The 21,407-nt window shown below is 41.5% G+C and overlaps 1 protein-coding gene and 2 pseudogenes across 12 annotated transcripts in view, besides 3 other annotated features; 1 reads left to right on the top strand and 2 right to left on the bottom strand.

Moving 5' to 3' along the window:
- The window catches only part of NSD1 (nuclear receptor binding SET domain protein 1), a 168,416-nt gene that overhangs the window by 14,957 nt on the left and 132,052 nt on the right, over positions 1–21,407 (bottom strand). For 11 of the 12 annotated variants that reach the window (NM_001409301.1, NM_001409304.1, NM_001409305.1 and 8 more), the window contains 6 exons: positions 17,539–17,695; positions 15,450–15,655; positions 11,473–11,585; positions 4,423–4,692; positions 2,676–2,792; positions 1,329–1,470 (listed from right to left, as the gene is read on the bottom strand). In NM_001409301.1, coding sequence (NP_001396230.1) covers positions 1,329–1,470; positions 2,676–2,792; positions 4,423–4,692; positions 11,473–11,585; positions 15,450–15,655; positions 17,539–17,695 — 1,005 coding nt within the window. The remainder of the gene's footprint in view (positions 1–1,328; positions 1,471–2,675; positions 2,793–4,422; positions 4,693–11,472; positions 11,586–15,449; positions 15,656–17,538; positions 17,696–21,407) is intronic. The other variant, NM_001409309.1, reaches the window with a different exon arrangement.
- Positions 14,616–15,815: an enhancer, noted in NCBI's record as "MED14-independent group 3 enhancer chr5:176696443-176697642 (GRCh37/hg19 assembly coordinates)". NCBI's record gives its function as "activates an origin of replication core promoter dependent on BRD2, BRD4, P300/CBP and CDK7 cofactors, and independent of MED14, by STARR-seq in HCT116 cells {active_cell/tissue: HCT116}" and the evidence as "EXISTENCE:reporter gene assay evidence [ECO:0000049][PMID:35650434]".
- Positions 18,316–19,207: an enhancer, noted in NCBI's record as "H3K4me1 hESC enhancer chr5:176693051-176693942 (GRCh37/hg19 assembly coordinates)". NCBI's record gives its function as "activates a minimal SCP1, AML or CMV promoter by ChIP-STARR-seq in naive H9 embryonic stem cells {active_cell/tissue: H9 hESC(naive)}" and the evidence as "EXISTENCE:reporter gene assay evidence [ECO:0000049][PMID:30033119]".
- PRMT1P1 (protein arginine methyltransferase 1 pseudogene 1) lies at positions 18,619–19,892 on the top strand (annotated as a pseudogene).
- Positions 19,208–20,100: an enhancer, noted in NCBI's record as "H3K4me1 hESC enhancer chr5:176692158-176693050 (GRCh37/hg19 assembly coordinates)". NCBI's record gives its function as "activates a minimal SCP1, AML or CMV promoter by ChIP-STARR-seq in naive H9 embryonic stem cells {active_cell/tissue: H9 hESC(naive)}" and the evidence as "EXISTENCE:reporter gene assay evidence [ECO:0000049][PMID:30033119]".
- RPL21P60 (ribosomal protein L21 pseudogene 60) lies at positions 19,983–20,531 on the bottom strand (annotated as a pseudogene).

Below are 21,407 nucleotides of genomic sequence, written 5' to 3'. Positions count from 1 at the left end.
TGCAATTTGGAGGGTGTTACATGCATAGGTATATATGTTTAAAATAATTGTATCAAAACCTTGAAGCTATAGATTAAGATCCTTTAATTTATGGAAAATATCTACCACATAACTTTACTGTCAAACCACTCAGCCATACCAGATTTACTTTCGATTCAAATTAGCTTCTTACTATTTGTCCTGGTTACAACCATCTCGCTACCCCGTTAGAGAGACAAGCACCCAGGTGAGCCATGACAGAGCAGTGAATTCTCCAAAGATCCTGTTCTTTGACATCCTAGAGGTTGAGAGGTTTTTGTTGTTTTGTGTGTGTGTTTTTAAGAGTCAGAGTTCTCACGATACTACCCAGGCTGCTTCTCAAACTCCTGAACTCAAGCGATTTCTGGCCTCAGCCTCCTGAATAACCGAGACTACAGGCATATACCACCACACCCAGTGGTTTATTTTTAAAATAGCCTTGGGTCCATAACCCATAAGATATGGAAGAGTGAGAGATCAATCTTTGGTTTATAAAGTGGAAGAAGAGCAACTTCAGGAAGGTGAGAAAGGAGACTGAAGAGCTAGTAGTTTCTAAAGCAAACCTATTAGTGGTAAGTTCATATGAATGTGAAAATTTGTTCCATTAAAACCATCCATGTTCCGAAGACACTGTGCTAAAAGAAATGAGCCAAGCTAAGCGAGGTGGCTCATGCCTGTAATCCCAGCACTTGGGAGGCTGAGGCAGGAGGATCACTTGAGCCCAGGAGTTCCAGACCAGCCTTGGCAACATAGCGGCAAGACTCCGTCTCTACAAAAAAAAAACAAAAAACAAAAAACCTGGGAATGGGGACATGTGCCTATAGCCCTAGCTACTCAGGAGGCTGAGGCAGCAGGATTGCTTGAGCCCAGTTTGAGGCTGCAGTGAACTGTGATGGTGCCACTGTAGTGCAGCCTGGGCAACAGAGCAATGCTCTGTCCCTAAACATTAAAAATGAATCAATGAATGAATGAAATGAGGTGGTCAGAAAAGGACAAATATTGTCCATTTATATGAAGTACATATAGTAGTCAAATTCAGAGACAGAAAGTAGAATGGTAGTTGCCAGGGGCTGTGAAGAAAAAGAAGAATGGGGACTTAGTGTTTAGTAGGTATAGAGTTTTAGCAGGGGAAGATGAAAAGAGTTCTGGAGACGGATGGTGGTGATGGTTGCACAAAAATGTAAATGAACTTAATTCCAGAGAACGGTACATATAGAAATGTTTAAAATTATAATCTGAGGAAGCTGTTTGTAAAAAACAAAAGCCCTGAAATTCAGATGTCAGCTGCAGAATCCTGAAATGATTCTTACCTGCTTTAATGTCACTTAGTGCAAAAAGGCCTACACGGGTATCTCCATTCACAGACCACTTCTGTGTTTCACAGTTGGGCTGGCAGCAATGATTCATGAACCGAGCATAGTTTCCTTTGGGACCAGCATCAATGATTCGGTCCTAGAATTCCAAAAGAAGCTACACATCAGACTTCCTGAGACCTCTGCTGTGGATTAAAATTTGACTATTCTCTCTAATAAGTTGGAGTTTCTATTTGTAAAGACTGAACCTCTCAGAGAAAAGATCCCAAAGAACTTTGGTTCTCAAAGTGTGATCCCTGGACCAGCACCATCACCATTTGGCAATTTGTTAGACATGCAAATTCCTGGGTTGTGCTTCAAATACACTAAAGCAGAGACTGTGGGGTGCAGCATTCTGCGTTATATATAACAAGGCTGCCAGGGGTTTCTGACTACATTGAAGTTTGAGGACCACTGCCCTACAAATAGCAGCTTGTCCCACTTTCTATTTAGGTAGTTTCAACCCAGATGCACATTAGAAATCACCTAAGGAGATTTAAATACTAATGCGGAGTCCCAATCCCAAAGTAAGATCAGAATATCTGGAAGTGAAGATCTCACAAATCCTAGTGCACAATTTGAGAAATGTTTACAAAGGTAAATACCAAGAAAGGGTTTTATTATAAAAACTAAGGCCAGGTGCGGTGGCTCATGCCTGTAATCCCAGCACTTTGGGAGTCCGAGGCAGGCAGATCACCTGAGGTCAGGAGTTTGAGACCAGCCTGGCCAACATGGTGAAACTTTGTCTCTACTAAAAATACAAAAATTAGCCGGGCGTGGTGGCGGATGCCTGTAGTCCCAGCTACTTGGGAGGCTGAGGCAGAAGAATCGCTTGAACCCAGGAGGCAGAGGTTGCAGCAAGCCGAGATCATGCCACTGTACTCCAGCCTGGGTGACAGAACGAGACTCTGTCTCAAAATAATTTTAAAAAAAAATTTACATAATCTTATCAGTAAAATAATTAAATATTTAACAATTTTCTCAACTGTAAAATAAAATAAAAAAGAATTATGTACTTTTCTGAGTTCAAACTTGTAATCCTGTAGAAAAAATACTCAAAGATATAAGCTCCAATTTTCATTGAATTGTTCAAAAACAATGCTAAAAGCTGCTGTATTGCCTCTGGCCATGAATACCCAGAAAATGAGCACTCTTACCTACTCCAGAACCCCAATCCAGCAATCCCAATGGGTATGGGAAAAGACCCTACCTTGGGAACTGCGTTACATGCCTACAAATACTATGGCTGGGACAACACAAATTTACAATCTTGTAACAGTGAAAACAGCATTTCCCATTACTTACTTTGTCTAGGGTGAGCATATAGAAATTAGTGATATCATGTTCTTGAGCATAGCGAATTCGAGCTCTGCATTCTTCTTCATCTATAAGCTCACCCACATACTCATTCACAAATTCACCCTAGAACAAGAAATACCTCCTGACTTAATGGCAAAAAAGGACACTGGTATCCAAATGTATACATTTTTTTAAAAAATTAATGAAAACATCACATTCTACAAAGCAGATTACATGAGTATAATTTTAGGCACACATAATTACTTTACGATCCCCAACTATTTGATAATGAGAAACACCTCCTTACTCCTACCACTGTCAGCAGCAGAAAGATTAGGATACACTGGATACTAAAGATCCTCCAGAATGGAAGATTAGTAAGTAAACTAGAGCGTCCTTATAAAGAGAGATGGATGGCCAATCTCTACCTGCCCCAGAGCCCGAGAATTGGCTTCCCCAAATAAACTATGTTCATCTTCCTTGGTGCTTGCTCTGCTCTATATTTCAAAGTACCATCCTCCCTATTCATTATGCTACAGTCACTCTGGCTTTTCACACGTGTTCACTCCTAACCTGCAGGGCTTTAATGCACCTTGCCTGGGTCAACAGCTACTTATATTTCAAGTCTCAATTTAAAATAGCCTCACAAGTCAAGAGTGATGGCTCATGCCTGTAAACCCAACACTCTGGGAGGATAATTTGAGCCCAGGAGTTTAAGTCCAGCCTGGGCAACATGGTTAGACCTCACCTCCACAAAAAATACAAAAATTAGCCAGGCGTGGTGATGCGAGCCTGTAGTCCCTGCTACTCAGGAGGCTGAGATGGGAGGATCACTTGAGCCTGGAAGTTGAAGGTTGCAGTGAGCGGAGATGGCACCAGTGCGCTCCAGTTTGGGCGACAGAGTGAGACCCTCTCTCAAAAAATAAATAAAATAAAATATAATATCATCAGAGACAAACTAGTTTCAGTTCCTTTGTCACACATCTCTAGAGCCCTTTATACTTTCACACTGGGAGATGATTTGTTCAATATTTCTCTCCCTCCGAAATGTAAATTTTATGAAAGTATAGGCCATATCTCTCGTCTTGGTTAGTGCATCCCCAGCACAATACCTGGCACATACAGTAAATATAAAAATAACTACTTAGCAAATGACTAAACGCCAACCCATATACACTACATTTCCTGGAAACCAATAAAATTCTTCAGAAAATGTAACCAGAATAAGGCTTATTTTATTAAAAAAAAAAAAAAGACTATACAATATTATTTATTTATTAGAAACTTAGAGATCCTGCCAAGTTTTAAGTTGAAGACATGACTGCATTTTCATCCAATAAGGCTTAACCTTCTTATCCTTCATGTTTCATGAAGCCAGACCTGTTTTTTCCTCACTAAAAATGTTTTATTAGTAGGTGGATCAATGTCTCTGTATCATGTGCTCACTGTCATCTCTCTTAATTACCAGCTGTAGGATATTCACAAAAAAGCAAACAAAGCCATAGCATCTCTATGAATGTCCCATTTTTTCCAACCTCCTACACAGTGACCATGATCAATACAAAGGACTTGGGAGATCAAAACCATCCATTCGTAAGCCTCTAAACGGTAGAAGGATATGGCAAGACACAACAATAAGGTTAATTATTAACTGTGTTATTTTCTTCTATGATGAATTTTCTAATGTCAAGGATCAATGATATCAAGCAACTGCAAAGAGGAGAAAGTATATGGTAATTTAGCTTTTTCTAACCTTTTTAATATCTGTTTTTGTCCGTAGACCCCAACCCCGCTGTAATGTGCGGAAAATTTCAACCTCTGGATATTGGCGCTTGGAAAAGCACTGGTTTTGACAGCGCCCTCCGGCAGGACACACTGTGGGGTGGCACTCATAGAGCAGCATGCGGTTGATGCATTCAGAGTCTATCCCACAGGGGTTCTCATCAGTAGCTTTACAGTTGCAACGGGGTATTTCAGATAAGTCTGCAGTGAAGATCTGTACCCTGCCAATAGGACGGTTTACCTGGAAAAGTAACACAAAGTACACCGCATAAAACAAGTCAGCAGAAGACAATTCACGTCCTGAAAAAGGCAAACTTTTTTTCCTTGAAGTTGCAGCCACATTTCCCATGATTTTGAACTATCAACACTTAGTTTCATATAAAAACAGAGCCTCACTTGACATACAAAATATGAACTCCACAAGAATTGCTTGAACCCAGGAGGCGGAGGTTGCAGTGAGACAAGATTTCACCACTGCACTCCAGCCTGGCCGATATGTTGAGATTCCATCTCAAAAAAATAAAATACGAGCCAGGTACGGTGGCTCACGCCTGTAATCCCAGCACTTTGGGAGGCCGAGGCAGGTGGATTACGAGGTCAGGAGATTGAGACCATCCTGGCTAACACGGTGAAACCCCGTCTCTACTAAAAATACAAAAAATTAGACAGGTGTGGTGGTGGGCGCCTGTAGTCCCAGCTACTTGGGAGGCTGAGCTTGCAGTGAGCCTAGGTCGTGCCACTGCACTCCAGCCTGGGCAACAGAGTGAGACTCGGTCTCTCGGTCACAAAAAATAAAATAAAATAAAATAAAATAAAATAAAATAAAATAAAATAAAATAAAATATGAACTTTAAAAATTTTTTTGAAATTCATTTTAAAAAATAATTTCAGCCGCGCCTGGTGGCTCACACCTGTAATCCCAGCACTTTGGGAGGCCGAGGCAGGTGGATCACGAGGTCAGGAAATCAAGACCATCCTGGCTAACACGGTGAAACCCCGTCTCTACTCAAAATACAAAAAAATTAGCCAGGCGTGGTGGCGGGCACCTGTAGTCCCAGCTACTCAGGAGGCTGAGGCAGGAGAATGGTGTGAAACTGGGAGGCAGCGGAGCTTGCAGAGATCGCGTGACTGCACTCCAGCCTGGGTGACAGGGCGAGACTCCGTCTCAAAAAAAAAAAAAAAAAAAAAAAAAAAATTTTCAAAGCTGATAAGCCAGGTGAACTATAAACTAGGTTTCTGCTATTGCCACATGTTGGTGTCACATTTGCTGCTACAAAAAAATAGGCATTATTCTTCCTTCCTTTTTTTGAGAGGGAGTCTAGCTCTGTTGCCCAGGCTGCAGTGCAGTGGCGGGATCTTGGCTGACTGCAACCTCTGCCTCCTGGGTTCTAGCCATTCTACTGCCTCAGCCTCCCAGGTAGCTGGGACTATAGGCACACACCACCAAGCCCGGCTAATTTTTGTATTTTTAGGAAAGATGGAGTTTCACTATGTTGGCCAGGCTGGTCTCGATCTCCTGACCTTGTGATCTCCTGACCTCAGGTGATCTGCCCGCCTCGGTCTCTGAAAGTGCTGGGATTATAGGTGTGAGCCACCACACCTGGCAAAAGCACTGTTCTTAAGTGGCAAATAAATGGCATGAAATCATCTGTGTGTAATTTGAGTTCCTCTATGCTTCCTGCATCAGCCTCACAAGTAGTTGGGACTACAGGCAGGTATCACCACACCCAGCTTATAATTTAAAATCTTTTAAAAGGACTATAGCAATGTCACTCATGGATTAATTTAGAAGTGGTGCTAGTGCTCAAAAACACAGTGAAAGTTTGGTGAGTTAAAACATGAAGGTCAAACAGTTATTGTGACACCAAAGCCATTAATGTAGAGGTTTTAACAAATACTAGCAACAATAAGGAAAGACAATAGATGTTCCAGTACAATAATGGATTTGTGCATGAGAATGTATCTCCCCTCATTTCATATTATTTCAGTGGGAACAGTCAAATTTAGTCTTCTAAGACACAAACCGCACAAAAAATTTTGACTGTTCAGGAACTGTGTGATTTTGAATAAATTACTTGCAAGACTATTGTAAGAATAAGAAATATATGTATAGTACAGCACCTAGCTGCCTCTTAAACATGGTAGACATATTAAATTCTTTCTTCCTTTCTTATATAATGCCCTTATGATTGTTTCTCTCATATCAAATATTCTAGATTACTCATTCCAGTACACCTAAAATCACTTACTTAAAAGTCATTTCTGTCCTCTAAATTTTCAAATGCTTTCATTTCTTGCATTTTATTATTTGCCCACTCCCCTTTAATATTATGAAATCTACAATCTGGATATATGCTGCCATCAAACCATTTTTCTATCAACATTTAACAGGAGGAGGCCAGGTGCAGTGGCTCACATCTGTAATCCCAGCACTTTCGGAGGCTGAGACTGGAGGATTGTTTGAGCCCAGAAGTTCAAGACCAGACCAGGCAACACAATGAAACCCTATGTCTACAAAAAAATTATAAAGCTTAGCCGGGCATGGTGGCAAGTGCTTGAGGTTCCAGCTACTCAGGAAGCTGCAGTGGGAGGATCGTATAGACCTGCAAGACACTCCAGCAAGATGCTGTCCGTGGGGAAAATGGATGTAGGTCTCACTGCCAGATCTGTTCCTAGATTCATCAAAACACTGGTAAGGTTTGGAAACTTCTTGCTAATGGAGAAATATCCCCAACACATGCAACTGGAAGCCATAAGGCATAAGGCTTACAATGTCTAAGGCAAATTCTAAGGGGACAGACAACAACAGCTAATCTCAGTCACCCAAGACTACAAGTCCTGAATAGGGCATTTGAACATTCACTTCTGATTCGAAATATTTTTACTTGAACCCTTCCCAAATACACATAAAGGTTCATGCTACTTCTTTTCTCTCTACAAATATATATTTGTTTTTGTTTTGAGACAGGGTCTTACTCTGTCCCCCAGACTGGAGTGCAGTAGTGCAATCACAGCTCACTGCAGCGTTGACTTTCCAGGCTCAGGTGATTCAGGTAGCTGGGACAACAGGCACCCCAAATTTTTTTTTTTCTTTGTATTTTTTGTAGAGACTGGGTTTTGCTATGTTGCCCAGGCTGGAAAATATATGTTTTAATCATTGTTTCTTATCAACTGATCTAACCTGTTATTAATCCAAAAATAAGTTTTGTACTTATCACATCGTAAACCAAAAGCAAACCAAAACAAATCCCACATGGTTAAGAACAAAGACATGGATATGTAATTCTAAGTAAATCTCACTATAGATCAGGAGTTAAGTAACTTTTTCTGTAAAGGGTCAGAAAGTAAACACTTCAGGCTTTGCAGGCCATAGATCTCCACATGTAGCTCGACTCTGCCACTGTAATATAAAAGCAGCCATATGTAATATGTAAATGAAGAAGCATGCCTGTATTCCAATAAAATTTTCTGGATACTGATTGAAAGTTGAATTTCATATCATCTTTATGTGTCACAAAATCTCTTTTTTGCCAATCACTAAAAAATACAAAAACAACCTGTAGTTCAAGAGTATTACAAGAATAGGCAGTAGACCACATTTGCCCATGAACCATAGTTTGCCAATGCCTGCTCTAGATCCTTTTCCTGGAAATGTTTATTAAAAAAAAAAAAAAAAATGGAGTAAAGAAGTTGGCCTCTAAGTTCTTGATGAGATCACTCACAGGAAACTGCTCTCTCAGTAGCTCAATATGGTTAATATGTTAACTCTAAAATGCCTACCTTGCTGTTATCTGACCCTCAGGACTATGTGAATAGAATTATTTTCCATTTCTGAGGCCTAACGACTATGTTCCAAGAATATATTTTCACATACATTGTGAGACTCATTTAGATCCAATTATAGGTTTTGAAATTCTTAATTTCAGAAGTTGTAATCATTTGTAAGGATTAACAGTTTATGACTTTTTTCGTTTTGTTCTTTTTTTAATCTAATCTTGGTATGGATATTTTATGACATTTAAAGTAACAATTTAAAGGCCAGGAGTGGCAGCTCATGCCTATAATCCCAGTAATTTGGGAGGCCAACGTGGGAAGACAACCTGAGGCCAGGAGATCGGCCTAGGCAACATAGTGAAATCATCATCTCTAATAAAGGGGGGGAGAAAAAAGCAAAAAAAACTGGGCCTGGCACAGTGGCTCACCGTGGGAGGCTCAACTTTGGGAGACCGAGGCGGGCAGATCACCTGAGGTCAGGAGTTCAAGACCAGCCTGGCTAACATGGTGAAACCCCATCTCTACTAAAAACACAAAAATTAGCCAGGTGTGGTGGCACAATGCCTGTAGTCCCAGCTACTCAGGAGGCTGAGGCAGGAGAGTGGGCTGAATCCAGGAGATGGAGGTTGCAGTGAGCTGAGACCACGCCACTGCACCCCAGCCTGGGCAACAGAGTGAGACTCTGTCTCAGGGGGAAAAAAAAAAAAAGACTTCAGAAGCAGTGTTTATGACTTTTATCCCTTTTTAGAGGTCTTCCAAAGTTCAAAAAGAAAATATACTTATTTAAAAGAATAAAATTCAGGCCAAGTGTCGTAGCTCACGCCTGTAATCCCAGTTCTTTGGGAGGTTGAGGTGGGTGGATTGCTTTGAGCTGAGGAGTTCAGGACCAGCCTGGGCAACATGGTGAAACCCCAACTCTACAAAAAATACCAAAATTAGCCAGGCGTTGGTGGCTCATGTCTGTAATCCCAGCTACTTAGGAGACTGAGGCAGGAGGCAGGAGAATCACTTGCGCCCACGAAGCGGAGGTTGCAGTGAGCCAAAATTGCAGCAATGCACTCTAGCCTGGGTCACAGAGGGAGACCCTGTCTCAAAGGAACAAACAAAGAACAAAACTGATTCTGTCTTGTAAATACCATGTAAGTCCATCAGACTAAATCTAAGACACGGTATGGAATTTTAGTGTTCTTACTTTTCCTCTATCTTGTAACAACTTACTAATTCATCATTACACATTATTACTAACTCATCAATAATTCACAACTATGCTAAAGAAGACAGAAATAATAAGAAAAGGGAGGCCGGGCGCAGTGGCTCACGCCTGTAATCCCAGCACTTTGGGAGGCTAAGGCAGGCCGATCACGAGGTCAGGAGATCGAGACCATCCTGGCTAACATGGTGAAACCCCATCTCTACTAAAAATACAAAAAATTAGCCCGGTGTGGTGGCGGGCGCCTGTAGTCCCAGCTACTCGGGAGGCTGAGGCAGGAGAATGGCTTGAACCCGGGAGGCAGAGCTTGCAGTGAGCCAAGATCGTGCCACTGCACTCCATCCTGGGCGACTCCATCTCAAAAAAAAAAAAAAAAAAAAAAAAAAGACAAGGGAAGCACAATGGAATCACATATAAGCACGATGAAATACTGAAACTGTCACACTTTAGATTTCTTACGGCATTACCCAAAGTACTGCATTGTCGTTTAAAAAAAGTATAAAAGACCGTCTACTACACCTGAGGAAAGGAGTTTAAAAATAAAAAAGCAAGTATAAAACACTGGAGACACGATCTTGAAGGTCTGATTTCGGTAGGGTTATCAGATTTAGCAAATAAAAATCCAAGTCATCTAGTTCAATCTGAATTTCTGACAAACAACGAAAGTTTTTCAGTTTAACTATGCTCGATCCAATATTTGAGACAAACTTAAACATACTAGATTCTCAAGATGGTGGTCAAATTAGTCTCCAAGTAGCATCTCAGATTATCAGTCTTTGGAAACACACAGCCGGGCGTGGTGGCTCATGCCTGTAATCCCAGCACTTTGGGAGGCTGTGGCGGGTGAATCACTTGAGGTCAGGAGTTCGAGACCAGCCTGGCCAACACGGCGAAACCCCGTCTCTACTAAAAATACAAAAATTAGCCGCATATAGTGGTGTGCGCCTGTAATCCCAGCTACTCGGGAGGCTGCGGCAGAAGACTTGCTTGAACCTGGGAGATGGATGTTGCAGTGAGCCAAGATTGCACCACTGCACTCCAGCCTAGGAGACAGGGGGAGACTCCATCTCAAAAACAAACAAACAAAAAAACAACACACACACACACACACACACACACACACAAAGGATAAGTGAACAAATAATGCATTTCTAAGAACAAAAAAGAAATAGGGTATTCTCATCCAGGAACAATGCCATCAAAGATGTTTTACAAGAACAACCTGGGTAATCTCCTTTTCTCAACAGGCCTAACAATATTCTTTCATGTTTTATGATATTTGAGCATCGCAACTAACTTATCTGATAAAAAGAGGTTTGTAAAAAGGATTTAGTAAATATTAGGTTGGTGCAAAAGTAATTGAGGTTTGCCATTAAAAGTAATGATAAAACTGCAATTATTTTAGCAACAACATAACACTAAAATTTCTAATACATTTGTTCTCCACTGTCTCTTTATTTTTATGTCTGTCAATTATTCATATAAATGACATAAAAATGTTTAAAATACAAAGGCTCCACTGGACCCAGATGATAATGGTGATGACTATTTCACTAGGTAGGTTAAAGGTTAGGTCCACCTAAAATCAATTCTCCTGACACTGGGAATCCTGGCAATGCGCTAGGAATGGTGTTCTGGTACTTGTTTCTTTTTTTCTTCTTTTTTTTGGAGACGGAGTCTTACTCTGTCGCCCAGGCTTGAGTGTAGTGGCACGATCTCGGCTCACTGCAACCTCTGCCTCCCGGGTTCAAGCAATTCTCCAGCCTCAGCCTCCCAAGTAGCTGGAATTACAGGCACCTGCCTGGCCAGGCTGGTCTCAAACTCCTGACTTCAGGTGATCCGCCCGCCTCGGCCTCCCAAAGTGCTGGGATTACAAGCGTGAGCCACCGTGCCCGGCTATTTCTGATCTTCTTTTAAGCTCATACCTCTACCTAAAACGAACTATGCTTGTGCTTCCGTTCTTGTCATGAACAGAGTGGGAAGAGCCAGCTATTCCATTTCTCTTCTAGAGAAGGTCCCCCAAGATTTTCTCCTCACCTTTATATGTTTATAAGGTGGTGGCTTCTTGTCATTCTTTCGGTCTTCCTGCAGCTGTCTTAGCTCTTTTTGGGCCTTTAATTCCTCAAACCTTGCTGCAGCTTCCTGAAGAGCTATGAAAACAGACAGCACAAGTCACTTCAAAATCTCTGGGTGGAATTACTTATTTATTCACTTATTTTTTACTTTTTCCCCTTTAAGTTGGAGAAACTCCATGTTTTACACAAAAATCGACCAATGCTATATGAAAAAGAAAACACATAACAGCTATTTTCAAACAGGTAATGTAGTCCAAAGGGTATTCAGACATAGTATTAAGACAAAACATAATCCAGAACTAAATGGCACAATACAGACTATCACCCTTTAGATCACTGGCATCCATCCATCTGAATACGAGAACTTTTTTGCTTATCTGTGGTGGCGGATATCATAAAAATTATGCATGGACTTTTTTTTTTTTTTTTTTTTTAGCTCATCAGTTATTGTTACTGTTAGTGTATTTTATGTTTGGTCCAAGACAATTCTTCTTCCAGTGTGGCCCAGGGAAGCCAAAAGATTAGACAACTGTGCGTTAGATGAGAAAACAATAAACAACTAAATGACTTTAGAAAGCCCACAGATGCCATCTCCTAACAACTACGCTTCATCTGCTTAGCAAAGTCACTGCCTTTAAGCCTTTCTTGCCTCAGTCCTAAACCTCCCACTTTCGGAAACATGCTACATCTTAGGTGCCCCAGATATTGTGCTCACTCTCCTCTGGCAGAAAGTCAAAGTTGAAGCTTTGTTCTCCTTCTTGCCTCTTATCCTAAGACTTGTTGTGTAAATATAAACTATTAGCTCTAATGATACACAGATCTTCATAGCTAATCTACACTCAAGTACCGTACTTTATTTTTTTTGAGACAGGGTCTCACTCTAACACTCTGGTTGGAGTGCAATGGAGCAATCACAGCTCACTGCAGCCTCGACCTTATGGGCTCAAGTGATCCTCCCACCTCAGCCTCCCAAGTAGCTGTGACTACAGGCATGCACCACCATGCCAGGCTAATTTTTTTGTACAGACAAGGTTTTGCCATGTTGCCCAGTCTGGCCTTAAACTCCTAAGGTCAAGGTATCTGTTTGCCTCAGCCTTCCAAAGTGTTAGGATTACATGCATGAGTCACTGTGCCCGGCCCCTGTACTTTCTCATGTTTAAAAGATTGCAGTATCTGAAAAGTCCAACAAAATCTTAAGATTCTCATTCTGCACTTAAAACTGTAATTCCTTATTCTTCACCCACATTAAAAACTCTGAGAATCCCATTCTTCCCACTTTCTCTGTGCCTTTCCCCAAGTCTGTCAATCCTTTAAAGAAATTCTCCCCTCTGACCTATCCTTTTTTCTTCATTTCCTTGTAGCCATCTACCAGAGTTTGTATGTGTTCCATGGAGTCATCTAAATTGTCCTAAAATGTGTTCTTTCCAGGAGAATCATCTAAATTTTCCTAAAATGTGTTCTTCTAAGGAGGTAGACTAGAACATTATTCAGCATGTCCTAGTCTACCTCCTTAACATCTATCCAATATAAATCATATTCTCCATCCCCATGAACAATTCACCATTAGTCTCATTCTTTCTTTCTTTCTTTTTTGGTGGTGATGGTGGTGGGGCGGGCGGGGAGGGGTGGGTGGACACACAGAGTCTCGCTTGCTCTGTCACCCAGGCTGGAGTGCAGTGGCATTAGCCTCTGCCTCCCGGGTTCCAGCGATTTTCCTCCCTCAGCCTCCCGAGTAGCTGGGATTACAGGCGCACATCACCATGCCCAGCTAATTTTTTTTTATTTTTAGTAGAGACAGGGTTTCAATGTGTTGGCTAGGCTGGTCTCAAACTCCTGACCCCATAGTGCTGGGATTACAGGCTTTAGCCACTGTGTCCAGCAGAGTCTCGTCATTTCTGCCCCAAACTACTTAAAACAGCCATCTCACTGATTTTCCCACTTGCAGCCTCTCACCTTTTAATGGTCCCAACAATGTCCCAGGCTAAAGTTTCTAAAACTCTGCTCTAACTAGGGATCTAGTTAGATCTTCATCCTTTCAGGAAAATAGCCCAACACTCCCCCAACCATGTGCTTAAACTGTACCAAATACTTGGAGGTTGCTAACTCAGGATTTTATTAATAGATTCAACACGTGCTTTCACATGTGATGCCTTCTTGGTAAAATGTATCACATTTTAAGTCCTTTTCCTTCTTCAAAGTCAGTGTAGAGGTTAGATTCTGGCCCTACTATAAGAGTCAGAAACATTCCTCTATCACTTACTGGTACTGATATGTTAGGCGAGTACTTTAACATTAATGTGCCTCAGTTTCCTCATCTGCAAGATCAGGATGGTATCCACCTCATAGGGTTATCATAAGCACTTAAAGCAGAAAATAAACACAGAACAGGGTCTGGCAAACAAAAATGCTAACTATTATTATTATGATTCATTCCTCAAAGTCACTTAGTAATCATTCATGACTTCCAAACATTGCTCCCCAGCTTCTTCTTGCTCTGTTCCCACAGCATATACAATACACACTTCTGCCACAATATTAATAATACCAAAATCCCGGCAGGTATTTCGACTGCTGGTATCTATTTCAGATTCTCCTGCAAAAATACAAGCTCGAAGAAGTCAGAGGCACCTAGAAACCCCCTGATTAAGGCAGAATCTCAGAGCTTAGGCAGGCTCAGACCTGCGGTATTCCTTATACTCCGCCTTCTCCCCCAGTCTCAGTGGTGGCCAGCTCTGTGCAGGCCAAAATACTGGCGACTTTATCCCTGACCACCTGAGATTACAAGACTCAAGACCCCAGCTCCTGAAGTATTAGTACTAACAGCACAGTACTATGTATTTTTGTATTAGCAGTAGAACTGATAGACAGCCCATATCTATGTACAGAAACCACAAGACAAACAGGGTAAGTGAGGAGCTACTAAAATAACATGTGGCAAACAGAACCTTTGTTAAACTTGTTCCCTATCGACATTACTCCCATTCCCTAACCAGGAAGTTTTACCTGCTTAGAATCTTCTTCCATGTCACTTGCTTAGAATCCCTTTTCATCTCACCCTATAGACAAAGTCTTACACAGATGCTCCTCATGTTAACAATTGGTTTACCTGGATGTAATCCCATCATAAGCTGAGGAACATAATGGAAGTGCATCATCATAAAGCTGTAAGTTGGACCATTCTGAGTTGGGAACCATTTGTACTTTAAGTACCAAATAAATTAAATAGCAAGGGATATATTATCTTTCAAAGGACAGCTAGAGGAAGAAGGTAATTACCACTAAGGGGATACCAATTATGTACTCTGCAGGGACACTTTTTATAATCCCACTGTATTCTAAGAGCAAACTTTCTCCATTACATGGTAAGAGAAAACCGGGTTCGAAGTTGATTGGACCACCTGGTAAGCAGTAAAACTAGTTCTGCTTATAACAGGGCACCCTGCCTTCATTGCTAGGCCAGTTTACAAAACTTTATTTTGATTCAGAGCATTTATGCTTTGACCTTTACTAGTTTGTTCTACAATATCTGGTGAATTTTACTTCTTCCCAACGAGCTCAAGACAAGACAAGACAAGACAAGACAAGACAAGACTCCTTGGAGCAAATGTAGCTCTGCTAGAGATCTGAGCCTCTGTCTAGCAAACTGAAGTGTTTCTTCTATGAAATAGTTTCAGAACTCCATTATTTGATGGAATGCTGACAAAACAACTGATAAGTCAAAAAAAAGCTCAAGGAAATTCAAATTAAGTAAAGGTTAAGGCTCAAAAATAATGAGTTACATGGGTCAACTTCCTTGCAAAATACTGTATTTGCAGCCAGATAATGCCCTGAGAGGACAAAGGCAGTTTCAAAATGGAGCATATGTGAATTCTAAAACAGATCAGACACTCAGGTAACAGAGGTCTGTGTTTGCCTGAGAAACAAAAAGGATAAAGTTACCTTTTTTATATGTCCCATCCACTCCTTTGCCCATCTTATCCTTGCTGCTCACGTCACCCTCCATGTAAGGGAAGACTCGGGCCTGGTGAGTCCACAAATAGTCATTAGATCCAAAAAAGAGGACTGGGAACTCTCCCACATCATGTCTCATCTTATCAATGTTGGAAGGAACAGCTCGAGGATGGCAGATCTCAGCTGGCCACCACCTGGGAAAGGTGAAAAGGAGAAGGAAAACCTCTAGAAGGCTGCAAGGCATTAGGAAAATAACCTACTCATATAAAAGTAAGGATTAGCAATGTCTGTCTGTCCACATTAAAGTCCATCTTACGGCATTCTTACAACCTAACTAGAACACAAACAAGTCGTATGTGCTAGAAGCTGGAAAACATCTGCCCACATTCCCACACAGGCGCGCACTCCCTTAGACTCAATTATTCTACTTCAAGGATTCTACTTAAAGGAAATAATGATATAGGAACAGAGAGTTATGACAATAACATTCACTGAAGCATTATAAGAAGGAAAAACTGGAAAAAGTATAAATGCTCAACATCAAGAAAATAATAGTATTATCCATGGTACACTATACAAAATAAAATACAATTTGGTCTTTAAAAAGGAAACCTTCAATAATTAGTAGGAATATGGGAGAACAGCACCAAGAAATCAAAACACAAACACATACAAACAAAATCAAAGAATGTAAATTACTATACAGCCACTTTAGGGAGACAATTTGGCACTACCTATTAAAGCTGGAAACCTCTATCTACCTACTTTACTCCAGAGAATGCCCTAGAGAAGGCCCTAAGTATATAAACCAAATATATACTTGTATATAAGTATATACTTATATTCAAGGTCCCAAGTATATAAACCAAGAAAAACTGACCAAATGTTCACAGTCCAAACAGGAAAATGGATAAGTGAACTAGACATTATGTGACTACATAAAGGAACAGTGAACTATGAATGAACCACTATACAATACTATGATGAATCTCAGGGGCATAAAAGTGAATGAAAAAAGTTGCAGGAAAATGTATCAACAATAATTCCTTTACATAAAGGTCTAAAACACAGCAAAGAAAACAAACTCTCACAGAAGGGCGAAGGAATGAAAAACCTAGAATTGAGTACAGTGGTTACCTCTGGGGGTAGGAGAGAATGGAATCAGGGCATGGAATAAACCTCAAAAGTACCAACAGTGTTCTATTTCTTTAAGTGGGAGGTACATACACAGGTGCCACTTTTGTCATTCTTTAAAGTCATGCATGTTACATCCTTTGTGCTTTCCATATTCAATCAAAATATATTTTTTAATTTTATTATTATTATACTTTAAGTTTTAGGGTACATGTGCACAACGTGGTTTGTTACATATGTATACATGTGCCATGTTGGTGTGCTGCACCCATTAACTCGTCATTTAGCATTAGGTATATCTCCTAATGCTATCCCTCCCCCCACCCCCCACCCCACAACAGTTCCCGGTGTGTGATGTTCAATCAAAATATTTTAAAAAAGAAAAAGTGGCCGGGTGCAGTGGCATGTACCTGTAGTCTCAGCTACTCAGGAGGCTGAGGCGGCAGGATCCCTTAAGCCCAGGAGTTTGAAGTTGCAGTGAGCAATGATCACACCACTGCACTCCAGACTGGGTGACAGAGGATACCCTGTCTCAAAACAAACAACCCAAGACACATAACAGAGTATAATCTGTAAAAACAGTTATTTTGGATGGTGGGGGGCATAACTGCGTATTGGTACGTCTGGGAGTACATATGCCGAAATGTTAACAATGCGCCTGCCTTGTGAGATTATTACTGTCTTTTCATTTAAAAAAAAAAAAAAAAACTTTTCACAAAATACACAAAAGAAAAAAAAATTTCGACAGAGAACATGTATTATTCCTATAATTGTAAATCATAAAGTTAGGTTTCTCTTCCTATAAGGAAAAAAATCAAGAAGAAGAGGGGAGGAGTACCATGAGTAATTAAGTAGATCATTAGAAATACGTTAAGCATTGTATCTGAGAGGTCTCAAGAAACAGAGGATGGTAAAAGAGATGAGTGCTATTCTTCAGGCTTACCTGTATCGTCCAACTTTTACCCAGACAATCTCCCTGTAGTGTGGCTTTTTGCCTGCTTTACAGTCATTGCAATACCAGTTTCCTTCAGGGATATCAATGTTCAGGCATTCACGATGAAAAGCAGCAGGGCAAGAATCACAGCACAGAAGGCTGCCTCCTGTGGGAATAAAAAAATGTGGCATTCAGATCACAAGACTGCAAGTCATGTATGTGTACATCCATACACATATATATATATATTTTCTTTCTCTTCACTAAAAGATATACTAAATAAAAACATTATCAGTGACACATAATGACCAGAGTATAAACAGCATAAGCTTTATTTAACTCTCGTCAGGTTCAGGTTGGAATTCTAGCTCTAGGACCACAGGCCCTTGGGAAATTCACTTTCCTTGCTGAGCTATAATTTCCTCAGCGGTAAGGAGTTTTCTCTAATAAACAATAACCACATCTGTTTGAAGATTCACCTAGCTAATAAATTACCTAGTAGCGTCTGACACATAAGTAGTATCTCCATATGGTTAGTTCCTTCCCTCCTTTTAGAACTACTAACTTTTCGGCTGGGCACAGTGCCTCAGGCCTGTAATCCCAGCACTTTGGAAGGCTGCAGCAGGTGGATCACCTGAGGTCAGGAGTTAGAGAACAGCCCGGCCAACAGGGCGAAACCCCCTATCTACTAAAAAATTAGCCACGCGTGGTGGCACATGCCTGTATTCCCAGCTACTCGGGAGGCTAAGACAGGAGAATTGCTTGAACCTGGGAGGCGGAAGTTGCAGTGAGCCAAGACAGCACCACTGCACTCCAGCCAGGGTGACAGCAAGGCTCTTGCCTCAAATAAATAAATATATAAATGCTTTCAAAACACAGTAGTTTCAGCAGACGGGCAGGCATTTTATTTTGTTGCCAAAAAGAAATGAGCCACGCTCTTGCCAGAAATGAGCATGATTCAAACATGCTAGACTCAAACATGTAATTCCAAGTTTTACCCTGAAGTGGGGAGTAAAGCCTTAGCAAAGAATATATCCGAGTTAATCTTGTTCTCACTGTGCTTCTTTCACCTCTTAAAATCCTACTATAGAAAAAGGCGGGGGTCTTGGCGGCCGGAAGAGGAGTAGGTGCGGGTGAAGATGGCGGCCGCCGAGGTCGTGAACTGCATCATGGAGGTGTCCTGTGGCCAGGCGGAAAGCAGCGAGAAGCCGAACGTCGAGGGCATGACGTCCAAAGATTACTACTTTGACTCCTACGCCCACTTCGGCAACTCCATGTTTCACAACCGCCACCTCTTTAAAGACAAGGTGGTGCTGGATGTGGGCTCGGACACAAGCATCCTCTGCATGTTCGCCGCCAAGGCCGGGCCCGCAAGGTCATCGGCATCGAGTGTTCCAGTAGCTCTGATTATGCGGTGAAGATTGTCAAAGCCAACAAGTTAGACCACTTGGTGACCATCACCAAGGGGAAGGTGGAGGAGATAGAGCTCCCGGTGGAAAAGGTGAACATCATCATCAGCAAGTGGATGGGCTAACTGCCTCTTCTACGAGTCCATGCTCAACACTGTGCTCTATGCCCGGACAAGTGGCTGGCGCCCAATAGCCTCATCTTCCCAGAACGGGCCACACTGTATGTGACGGCCACCGAGGACCGGCAGTACAAAGACTACAAGATCCACTGGTGGGAGAACGTTTATGGCTTCGATATATCTTGCATCAAAGATGTGGCCATCAAGGAAACCCTAGTGGATGTGGTGGACCTCAAACAGCTGGTTACCAACGCCTGCCTCATAAAGGAGGTAGACATCTACACCGTCAAGGTGGAAGACCTGACCTTCACCTCCCCGTTCTGCCTGCAAGTGAAGCAGAATGACTACGTGCACACCCAGGTGGCCTACTTCAACATCGAGTTTACGCACTGCCACAAGAGGACCGGAGGGACCGGCTTCTCCACCATACCCGAGTCCCTGTACACGCACTGGAAGCAGACGGTGTTCTACATGGAGGACTACCTGACCTTGAAGACGGGCGAGGAGATCTTCGGCACCATCGGCATGCGGCCCAACGCCAAGAACTGGGACCGGGACTTCACCATCAACCTAGATTTCAGGGGCCATCTGTGCGACCTGTCCTGCTCCACAGACTACAGGATGTGCTGAGGCCCGGCTCTCCCGCCCTGCACGGGCCCAGGGGCTGAGCATTCCTAGACGGTTGTGGGGCTCCCCCTTCCTCTCTCTCTCCCTCCCTCCCCCAGAGGAGGTTTTAGGGGCCTGGGCTGGGGGGATGGGGAGGGCACATCATGACTGTTTTTCATAACTTATGTTTTTAGATGGCTGCATTTATGCCAATAAATCTTCAGCTGGGAAACAAAAAAAATTCTTACTATAAACATACTTCTGTTGGCACTTTATATATAATTTATTCCCATGCTGACTTTTGCTTTTTTTTTTTAACAGTCCAGAGGTCTTTTATTTTTTTTAACACCTATGATGCCATGAATTCATAGGGAATAGGTTCCAGCAGCTCAGACTCCTTCCCATTGGTTCTCACAAAGTATGCTTCTCTGAGTGGAGCAAGCTAGTGCTTCAGTTGAACCCAGGTTAACTTTCTCTTTGGCTTCTTTTTCTGATCATTTTCCTTCACATGTTTCAGGAAGCTATCTTGGCTCTTAGGAGTGCTTAATGTGCTCAATATGCACATGAAATCTCTTGGCAAGAATCTTGCCCTTGTTTGTTTACAACAATGCCAACAGCATGCTGGGTAACACTGTAGACTCTTCCAGTTTTGCCATGATAACACTTGTGGGGCATTCCTTTTTGAAGAGTACCCATTCCTTTGATGTCTACAATATCACCTTTCTTATAGATTCGCATATATGCGGCCAAAGGAACAACTCCATGTTTTCTAAAAGGCCTACAGAACATGTACTGGGTGCCTCTCCTCTTTCCCTTTGTGTTTGTCATTTTGGCGAATTACAGGAAGATGGCAGTTTCGGCCAAAAGGGCCTTTACTTAATAATTCTCTTCAACAAGCTCTTAAAATAAGAGTGGGAGTTTTATTTGTTTTTGTTGGGGCCAGGGGTGTGTTTCAGATCAGACTCCTACTTCAACTGGAAAAGCTCACTTTTGTCTGTATTGTATAGTGAAGCTCAGATTCAGAGTAAGATTACATTTGGAAATGTGTCTGCTGCTAAAAAACAAGTCTGAAGAACAATTATGTTGCAATATGTTATTTGTTTGACATACGTGAAGAAAGTATGGCCTCTCAGAGATATATTGCTGGAAAAGAGTGCTAAAATAACCTGTTCAGAACTGTGGATATTCATTCTTAGATACTATGCTAAAACTCCACAGTGTATAGTTGCAATGTGGAAACTGAAACTATGTCACTAAACTTAAAATGACTACACTAAAATTCATTGATCTGTCTTCTATTTTGAATGCATCTTTTACATATGCAAAGTTTTTAACATCATGCATTAGCTATATTAAAAATATTGCCTCATCTCTACTAAAAATACAAAAAATTAGCTGGGCATAGTGGCACATGCCTGTAGTCCCAGCTACTCAGGAGGCTAAGGCAGGAGGATCGCTTGAACCCGGGAGGTGGGGGTTGCAGTGAGCCAAGATAGCGCCACTGCACTCCAGCCTGACGACACAGCCAGACTCCATCTCAAAAAAAAAAAAAAAAAAAAAAAAAATTGGTTCATTGAGTCATATGCATCTTCTAAATGGCCTATTTCATTATACTTTTAAAATCACATTTATTAATACTACCATGATCCAATCAGTAAGTACTAAGAAATTGTCAAACTGAAGGTAGCAGACAATAGTTTACGAAAATTTTAATTTTCACTTAAAAGCTCAAATTTTATCATTC

The sequence above is a fragment of the Homo sapiens genome, chromosome 5 (assembly GCF_000001405.40).
Source record: "Homo sapiens chromosome 5, GRCh38.p14 Primary Assembly".
NCBI lineage: Eukaryota > Metazoa > Chordata > Mammalia > Primates > Hominidae > Homo > Homo sapiens.
The sequence above is the reverse complement of the archived record's forward strand: the minus strand, read 5'-3'. Positions and strand labels throughout refer to the sequence as shown.